Consider the following 10697-nt stretch of genomic DNA (forward strand, 5'->3'; position numbering starts at 1 on the left):
AGGAGTCTAGTCAAATGCTCAATGCCTGGGAGGTTCAATGAAAGATAAATGGTGGTTCCAGTGGACAGGGAGAACCTGGAGATTGGTGATCAGGAGTAGGTAATACTCAGAGGTCTAGCCAGGCTGGTGGCTGATAGACATCAAGAAACTCTGGAAACAGGAAACAGGGTCCTAGATCTGAGGCTAGAGTTCAAGGGCAGCACTAAGCCCTTTAAGAAGGCGGACAAAGCAGTCTTAGTGAAACACAAGTACCAAACATGCTCTCAAAACAGAAACCCAGACAAAAAAAGAATACAGAATCTGGAATGAGGGCACACTATGGAACACTTATCAAGGCACAAGCCTAAACACAATTGTCACACCAAGACACAATACCAGCATGGAACTGGCAGCAGAATTGATGAGATGCTTAGTCATTGGAGCACTTCACTGAGAGCTCCTGGAATTAATCAACCAGGAATGCAACTGGTCCCAGCCAGAGTTGGGCTAAATTTCAGGGTATCAAGAGTTTAAATTAGGGCAAAGAGAGGAGAAGAAGCAGGGAGCCAGAAAGGTCAAGATAGGTTTCAAAGGAAGGTGGTGAGAGCACTCACAAGGACAACTGGGTGCTCCCTTCAGCATGCCAATGAATATGTGACGTATACAAATGTCAGCAAAGATTATGGGTGACTCAGGATGGGAGGAGAGAGGGAGGAGAGAGGGTCACCCATAATCTGAAGAGGGAGGACACTTTGAGTCAGTAGGAAATGGGAAGGAGAAAAATAATACTTCAAAGAAAAGCCTAATTGATGCATAGTTAAGCAGCTCCAAAATGGCACATTGATGACTACCAGAGACGGAAAGAAAGAAGAGAAGAAGAAAAAAAATCAAGGGGAGGACTGTGGAAAAGCAGCCCAGGACACATCCATACACATTGTTTTGATTCTACCTCAGGACCCAGTAGATATTTTGATCCTGTATAAAATATTTTAAGCAGAATTATACAAACATGATCGATTTTAATTTTCATCAAGAATGTATTTTCTAGAGCTCATTCCATTAAGCCAATTTGATTCTTTGATCAATTTTCTATAAAGCACAGTTTGTTTTTTTCATTTTTATCTTTAATGTAACTGAAATTACTTTTATTGACATTGATTCTTTCTAACTTAAATATTACTCTGAGACTATGATTATTCGATTGGATTTCTTGAAAACATAATATTTTTCCAATTATGGCTTCCACCATGTGGTTTTTCTCTGGCAGCTCTTCCTTCTAACAAGCTCAATTTCCCCACATCAAATTTGACATATCTAAACTTTGTTAAGAGTTGATTCTGATATTAGTTTTTAGTCAATAATAAACCTTACCATGTGAAGTTTTAGCTTTTGTTTTTTTTATGGCTTATTTCTACCAATTCTAACTTTGGCTAATTTTTCCAATGTGCTTCTCCATAAGTTTTTAATATTTAACAACTTTTATGAGGTGCAATTTCCATGACTGTAAATTTTCTTTGGGGATACGTTGACCAAAAATCTTTACTACAATATCTACATAATGGAGTACTATGCAGAAACAAGCAAAAAGTATAAGAAAGATCTCTGAGATTATTATTGTTAATGAATACATATTGTGATCTATATAGCATGTGTAGTATATGGCTATGTGTATATAGAATGTATATAGTATGCTGCCTTTTATATAGGAAAAATGAAAACAAATATATATAGAAACACACACATACACAAATATTTGCTAATTTTGCAGAAAGAGACGTAGGAAAAGTAAGCCAGAAGCTAATGGCAATAGTTATCTATATAGATAGATGGAAATGGGCCAATAGGAGTGAGAACTTCTGTTGAATATATGTTTCTGTTTTGAAGCATATACAAAATGATATAAAATAAAAAGAATATGAAAAAATGAATCCCAAAATTGAATCAAAACAGAAGCAAATGAAGCTAACAAATGACCACTCCAAAAAAATTATTCATTTGTATTTAATTCCAGACTAACTCATTAGACAATTAGGAGCAACTCCTCTCAAATGGTCTACAAATAGTGAATTCAATGAACCTAGGTCTGATCGTTTGGTGGGCTCTGTGCTAATTGTTTATCCTCCTGGTGGAAGAGCAGAAGCAGATCTGTGTGTCCTTCAGTGACCAAACGGCAATTCAGCTCAGGAAACCTGTCCAAACAAACACTATGTTCTTATAATGGGAGGAGGACTAGCCCAAGATTTCCCCAAAACAGAATAAAATGGCAGAGTGGCTGGGTCCGTAGTACTTGCAAAAGAAAAAACCCTGCTTTTCCAATGTTGGAAAAATCTCAGCTTTGATCTTAGAGCAAACAAAAAAACACAGCAACCAAAGGAGCACTGTAAGGAATCTTCATAATCAAGAGAAAAAAAAAAACTCACCAAGCTATATGTTCAAGTCAAAAACAAAAAAAAACAAAAAAAAACAGAACACTAATCTCAGTAGCAAAGACATCATAAGCCGCCCTGTGAGAGGTTAGGGGAAAAGGAATGACAGCAGCTGGAACGGGCTTTCTCAGGCTTTCTGTGTAGGCCAGGCTGTATAACCCTTATAGGATAAAAACACATGCACTTGATCTAGTAAGAGAACAATTATCAGCCGGGCACAGAGGCTCAAGCCTGTAATCCCAGCACTTTGGGAGGCCAAGGTGGGTGTGTCACCTGAGGTTGGGAGTTCGAGACCAGCCTGACCAACATGGAGAAACCCTGTCTCTACTAAAAATACAAAATTAGCTGGGGGTGGTGGCGCATGCCTGTAATCCCAGCTACTCGGGAGGCTGAGGCAGGAGAATCGCTTGAACTCAGGAGGCAGAGGTTGCAGTGAGCCAAGATCATGCCATTGCACTCCAGCCTGGGCAACAAGAGGGAAACTCCATTTAAAAATAAAAAAGAGAGAGAGAGAAAAATTATCTCGTTGGGAAGCAAAAGAACGTTGAAGGAACAAACCAGAAAGACTTAATTGGCCATGGTCCCCAGGGAAGAAATTCCCCATTTCTCACCAAGTGGTACCTCTGAAATTTAACCTTAAGAGGCCAGGTGTGGTGGCTCACGCCTGTAATCCCAGCATTTTGGGAGGCTGAGGCGGGTAGATCACCCTAGGTCTGGAGTTCAAGACCGGCTGACCAATATGGTGAAACCCCATCTCTACTGAAAATACAAAAAATTAGCCAGCTGTTGTGGTGCATGCCTGTAATCCCAGCTACTTGGGAGGCTGAGGTAGGAGAATGGCTTGAACCGGGGAGGTGGAGGTTGCAGTGAGCCAAGATCCCACCATTGCACTCCAGCCTGGGCAAAAACCAAAACTCTGTCTCAAAAAAAAAAAAAAAAGAAAAAGAAAAAAGAAAAAAAAGAAATTTAACTGTAAGAAACAGCAAAGAGGAATTTGGCCTGTGGGTTAAATGAGTAGAGGGTGAGGGTTATGTAAAAGGAAAGATAGATTTTTTTTGAAAGATATCAAATTTGCTTCAAAAGTTAGGTTTCAAAAATTCTATATACAGATTCATTTTCCTATATTAGCTTTTATCTCAGCTTCATTTGTAAATAGTGAAAACTTTCGTGTTTTAGGGATTTATTGCAGAACTTTTTACAATTACCAACATGTTCATGCAATGGCCCTCTCTTGAACTTCACTCGTATTGATTTTAAATTCCATAATAAAGCTCCTAAATGTAGAAGATTAACTACAACATTATTTCAATTTTAATTGAACAATTGTGTAAATAGTTCTTAGCTTGCAGTGAAACGTAGATTGCTGCTTTATTCTAAAGTTCTAAACTACAAAATATCTGCACTCTCTCAATCCTTTCTGATGATCTCATCCTTCCTTGCCATTTCTCCCTACAGTCTTTCACATTTACAAACTGATTTTATATATATATGTATGCAGTGGCTGGTTGGCTAGTCACACTCATGCTTTAAAAGTTAATTTGAAGTCAGGTAGTGTGATGCCTCCAGCTTTGTTCTTTTGGCTTAGGATTGACTTGGCAATGCGGGCTCTTTTTTGGTTCCATATGAACTTTAAAGTAGTTTTTCCAATTCTGTGAAGAAAGTTGTTGGTAGCTTGATGGGGATGGCATTGAATCTATAGGCTACAGTAACCAAAACAGCATGATACTGGTACCAAAACAGAGATATAGACCAATGGAACAGAACAGAGCCCTCAGAAATAATGCCACACATCTACAACTATCTGATCTTTGACAAATCTGACAAAAACAAGCAATGGGGAAAGGATTCCCTATTTAATAAATGGTGCTGGGAAAACTGGCTAGCCATATGTAGAAAGCTGAAACTGGATCCCTTCCTTATATCTTATACAAAAATTAATTCAAGATGGATTAAAGACTTAAATTTTAGACCTAAAACCATAAAAACCCTAGAAGAAAACCTAGGCAATACCATTTAGGACATGGGCATGGGCAAGGGCTTCATGACTAAAACACCAAAAGCAATGGCAACAAAAGCCAAAATTGACAAATGGGATCTAATTAAACTAAAGAGTTTCTGCACAGCAAAAGAAACTACCATCAGAGTGAACAGGCAACCTACAGAATGGGAGAAAATTTTTACAATCTACCCATCTGACAAAGGGCTAATATCCAGAATTTACAAAGAACTTAAACAAGTTTACAAGAAAAAATCAAACAACCCCATCAAAAAGTGGGCAAAGGATATGAACAGACACTTCTCAAAAGAAGACATTTATGCAGCCAACAGACACATGAAAAAATGCTCATCATCACTGGCCATCAGAGAAATGCAAATTAAAAACCACGATGAGATACCATCTCACGCCAGTTAGAATGGCGATCATTAAAAAGTCAGGAAACAACAGGTGCTGGTGAGGATGTGGGGAAACAGGAACACTTTTACACTGTTGGTGGGACTGTAAACTAGTTCAACCACTGTGGAAGACAGTGTGGCGATTCCTCAAGGATCTAGAACTAGAAATACCATTTGACCCAGTCATCCCATTACTGGGTATATACCCAAAGGATTATAAATCATGCTGTTATAAAGACACATGCACACATATGTTTATTGCGGCACTGTTCACAATAGCAAAGACTTGGAACCAACCCAAATGTCCATCAACGATAGACTGGATTAAGAAAATGTGGCACATATGCTGGGCGTGGTGGCTCACGCCTGTAATCCCAGCACTTTGGGAGGCCGAGGCGGGCAGATCACAAGGTCAGGAGATTGAGACCATCCTGGCTAACATGGTGAAACCCCATCTCTACTAAAAATACAAAAAATTAGCCAGGCATGGTGGCGGGCACCTGTAGTCCCAGCTACTCAGGAGGCTGAGGCAGAAGAATGGTGTGAACCTGGGAGGCAGAGCTTGCAGTGAGCCCAGATTGTGCCACTGCACTCCAGCCTGGGTGACAGAGCGAGACTCCATCTCAAAAAAAAAAAAAAAGAAAAAGAAAATGTGGCACATATACACCATGGAATACTATGCAGCCATAAAAAAAGATGAGTTCATGTCCTTTGTAGGGACATGGATGAAGCTGGAAACCATCATTCTGAGCAAACTATCACAAGGACAGAAAACCAAGCACTGCATGTTCTCACTTGTAGGTGGGAATTGAACAGTGAGAACACTTGGACACAAGATGGGGAACATCACACACCAGGGCCTGTCATGGGGTGGGGGGAGGTGGGAGGGATAGCATTAGGAGATATACCTAATGTAAACGACGAGTCAATGGGTGCAGCACACCAACATGTCACATGTATACATATGTAACAAACCTGCATGTTGTGCACATGTACCCTAGAACTTGAAGTATAATAAAAAAATAAAAAATAAATAAATTTAAAAGAAAAGTTAATTTGAAGGTTCAGATTGAATCTATATGTAACAAATTGCCAGAATGGAAAAATTTCTGGATAGTCTAAAAGTATCTCAGAATCTGCAATTAGCCTGGAGAACATATTTCTTTTTTTTTTTTTTTTTTTTTTTTTTTTGAGACGGAGTCTTGCTCTGTCGCCCAGGCTGGGAGTGCAGTGACATAATCTCGGCTCACTGCAAGCTCCGCCTCCTGGGTTCATGCCATTCTCCTGCCTCAGCCTCCCCAGCAGCTGGGATTACAGACGCACGCCGACACGCCCGGCTAATTTTTGTACTTTTAGTAGGGACGGGGTTTCACCATGTTAGCCGGGGTGGTATCAATCTCCTGACCTTGTGATCCACCCGCCTCGGCCTCCCAAAGTGCTGGGATTAAAGGCGTGAGCCACTGCGCCTGGCCAGCCTGGAGAACATATTTCAATGCAGAGTTTATTATATGTAGCAGGATGCTCAATTTTTGTTAAAATAGTTTCTTTAACTTCAGACACTGTAGGAATGGCTATCAAGTTACATATTGGAAAAAGTGACCTTGTGTGCAAATCATTTTACCTTCTATTTCTTCAAGGAAAGAGTTACAACAATTATATTTAATCCTCTGGCAAACAATAAAGTGTGTTAGAAATTTCTGGAACAACAGGGGCTATCGAGCTCAATTATTATATTTTAAATGTAATTAGTATATCACTACAAAAATAACAAGAGCCAAAATATAACAAAAAGTCAGAAAGAGAGAGAGAGAGAGAATTCATTTCTGAAAGATTTCACAGAGAATCAATTTGGTAGACCCAATGAAATATTCTTTATATCCTCACTTCTAAAATTCTTCTTCCACCATCTTTTAAAAGGTGATTAATGACTGTATATAGTTTATAGATTGTCGAGGCGTCTTTTACTCCTCTTCTTTCTTTAGCCTACTGCCTGTCTTATTGATACTGGCTATTCACTAACTTCCACTGAAAATAATTAAAATCTGCATCATTGGAGAACAGCCGGAAAGAAGAGCATGATGAATGTGAGCTAGGACCTTTGCCAAGCAGATGCCTCTGCCTCCGTGGAAGTCAAGAGCTCAGTTGGTGTGTGGGTAACTCAGAGACAACAAGGAGGTACAGGAAAGCACAGGAGTAGACACAGAAGAGTTGGTAACTCACAAATGAGAGAGACAAAGATGCTGTGTGATGGACAGGCATGTAAAGCAGGTCCTTTCGTGTGTAAACCATAGAGGCCATTCATGCGCGATTTGAAGGAAAAGGGCTCAGGAGTTATCACTGTGTAGATCTGGGAGGCATTATGCTAAATGAAATAAGCTGGACACAGAAGGACAAATACTGCATGATCTCACTTATAGGTAGGGTCTAAAATAAAAGCAGAGGGTAGAATGATGGTTACCAGGGCATGGGTTTGGGTGATGTTCTCAAGGTATGCAAAGTTTCAGTTATGCAAGATGAATGAGTTCTGGAGATCTAATGTACAGCATGGTGACTTGAAGTATCACTACTGTGCTGTATACATGAAACTTGCTAAGAGGGTACATACTATTTTCACCACATACAAAAACAACGGTAACGATGTGAGGTGACAGATTAGTTAATTATCTCAATTGTGGTGATTATTTCACATTGTATGCCTGTATCAAATCATCAAGCTGTATACCTTAAATATATACAATTTTTTAAGAAGTCATCTCTGAAAAATTAAGCAGTGATGTTCAAACAGTGATGGGAAGACATAGCTGGGGTTGGTACATAAGAAGTCTCACCAAAAAAAAGAAAAACAAAACACACAATTTTAAGAGGTATTTCATATTTTCTCCAAACTTCTAAACATTGGGATTTTGTTTTGATGGTAAATTTAAGGTAACCTGAGTAGGCGGTCTGGACACATTCCCATCATATTTTATTTCACCTCTGTAGCATTTCCCAAAATATAGGACGTCTTTGCTCTTTTGTCCCAAATTTTTTAAAATGCAAGCATTTCACCACATGCTCTATGACAATGCCTTTTTGTCCTATGGGTAGACAAATGTGAGTATGAGAAAATTTTGACATAAAACCAATAACGAGCACGAGAATAGGACAGCCAGCAGTGTTTATTTCTTTAAGAAAGCTAACCAGCAACTAATACCTGGAGTGTACATAGTCAGTCTACGCCATTTGATTCTTCTGAATCTTTTTCCACCACTGTGGTCTTTACTGCAGATACTACTTTGAGAATGTGTCTGTGCTCTGCACTGAAGGGAGAGCCAGGTCTGTCAGCGAGCCTGTCAACATCGCTCCAGTGTGAAGACTGATCAGCCCTAGCCTTTGTTTCATAAAGAATTACAGTGATGCCTTATATAATCGAAACAACAAACTGCCTTGTTTGAAGGTCTGAAATTCCAGCACGTGGGTGTCACTCTGTCTAACCTCACCTACTTTTCTTTGAGCAGTTTATTTAGGAGAAACCATTCCTCCTGCCTATTAAAATTATCATTTCTTAATGTTTCAGCTGACGTGTTTCCTTTAATATATTTTTGGTGCATCTGTTCTTTCCTCACCTTGACCAAGCGTTGCCTGAGACAGAGGCTGGTGGGTGGTGGAAGTTCTTAGGCAAATGAAGATAGATCAAATGCCCTCTCCAGCTTTGAATTTTAACTAGTAAAAGAATGATGTGAGATATAATAATGCCTCCTGTTTTGTTCCTGCTTACCTGAAAACCAAAATACTTGTAGATGAAGAGGATAAAATGCAACAAGAGGGAATCAATGAACTAGATTGGCATTTAAGAGACCTTGATTCAAGACCTAGCTCAGCCATTAATTAGCCCTGTAGTCGTTGGCTAAGAGCTTGATATCCAAGGCTCTCAATTTCCAATCTCTCTCTCTCCCCCCCACCCCCACTTCTGTCTCTTTTGTTCCATAGATTGCTACTATGTTGTACTAGGATGCTGACACTATGCTAGGTGGTGGAAATATACATACATGCAGGAGGTGGATTTGACAAGTCTTAGAAATTGATCGAACCTGGGGGATGAACACAGGAAGAGTCAAAGGTAACTCTCAGCTTCCATCTTGGGAAATTAGTTGGGTGTAGCTATAATCATAATGGAGAATATAGAAAAAAGTCAAAGGTTTTTCTTGTTTTGTTTTGTTTTGTAAAGATGAGGTCTCACTATGTTGCCAGGCTGCTCTGAAACTCCTGGCCTCAAGCGATCCTCCTGATAGGATTACAAGCATGAGCCACTGTGCCTAACCAGAAAAAACAGAAGTTTTGAGGAATAATAAAGAAGTAGAAAAATGACATGTTAATTTTAATTCTAAAGTTCCTTTCCTCCAGGGGATGTATCTCTACTTCTCTAACTCCAAAAAGAAAGAAAAATAAAGCTGTAGGAATTGAGGTAAATGTCTTATATTTATACCATTATTAGTGGATTGTTTTCACTGACATCTCATTTTTTCTCCTTTTTCATGCTAGAGATCCTCTTTCTTTCCACTTAGGTGATTCTAAGAACATCAGGAGGAGGAAGGGAACAGACCCCTATAGGGTTTGTTTATAGATAAAATGCTCTTTTCTGTATGGACTGTGTATCCAACTTGTTTCTGATTTCTCTTCCTGAGAAGTCCATCCTCCCTGGCCAAGGGAAAAGCTTTAAGAAAACAAACATGAGGCTGGGCGCGGTGGCTCAGGCCTGTAATCCCAGGACTTTGGGAGGCTGAGGAGGGTGGATCACGAGGTCAGGAGATCAAGACCATCTTGGCTAACACAGTGAAACCCCGTCTCTAGTAAAAATACAAAAAAATTAGCCAGGTGTGGTGGCAGGCGCCTGTAGTCCCAGCTACTCGGGAGGCTGAGGCAGGAGAATGGTGTGAACCTGGGAGGTGGAGGTTGCAGTGAGCCGAGATTGCGCCACTGCACTCCAGCCTGGGCGACAGAGCGAGGCTCCATCTCAATAAATAAATAAATAAATAAATAAATAAATAAATAAATAAATATAGCCGGGCTTGGTGGCTTACACCTGTAATCCCAGCACTTTTGGAGGCCGAGGCAGGCGGATCACGAGGTCAGGAGATCAAGACCACAGTGAAACCCCGTCTCTACTAAAAATACAAAAAATTAGCCAGGCACGGTGGTGGGCGCCTGTAGTCCCAGCTACTCGGGAGGCTGAGGCAGGAGAATGGCGTGAACCTGGGAGGCGGAGCTTGCAGTGAGCCGAGATCGCGCCACTGCACTCCAGCCTGGGCAACAGAGCAAGACTCCTTCTCAAAAAAAAAAAAAAAAAAAAAGAAAACAAACGTGAGAAAGTGAGGAAGAAGGAGGGACGTGCCTGGTCAATCAGACCAGGCATATTTTTCCTGGCAATCAGTGAGATAATCAACAGAATAGACCAATCACTCTCAGCTACCGAGGGTTCTAACTCTTTGTTCTGAGTTACCAAGCGATTTTGTCTGATGCTTTTCTCTCCAGACTGTTATACGGTGGGGGATAGTGTTGGGACATTGAAACAAGTAGAACATGCATTAAATAATTCCCAAGAAACTTAACAAGTCAAAGCTCCTCAGGATGGAAAGCTGGAAAATTGTTACTTTAAATGATTGTTTTTCACTTACTCAACAATAGTGTTTATAATAATGGCCAAGTAGGTGGGCTAAGGCAAGAAGACAAGGAGCCACAATATGTATGTAACAAAAATGTAAGATCCCAAAAAGAGGGTTCAGAGAAAGTATTATGGTGGTTTAAGAGAGAGAAAGAAAGAGAGGCAGAAGAAATAACCTTTGGGGAAAGGCGAGGATTGTCTTTATGAAGAAGACAGCATTTGACCAGAAACTTGAAATACATTGCCTGGTGAAGACA

The 10697-nt window shown here is 40.1% G+C and overlaps 1 annotated feature.

The window, feature by feature from the left end:
• Positions 559-759: a silencer, noted in NCBI's record as "peak4041 fragment used in MPRA reporter construct". NCBI's record gives its function as "represses an SCP1 promoter by STARR-seq MPRAs in K562 erythroleukemia cells {active_cell/tissue: K562}" and the evidence as "EXISTENCE:reporter gene assay evidence [ECO:0000049][PMID:32103011]".

Source organism: Homo sapiens, chromosome 2 (genome assembly GCF_000001405.40).
Source record: "Homo sapiens chromosome 2, GRCh38.p14 Primary Assembly".
Lineage (NCBI taxonomy): Eukaryota > Metazoa > Chordata > Mammalia > Primates > Hominidae > Homo > Homo sapiens.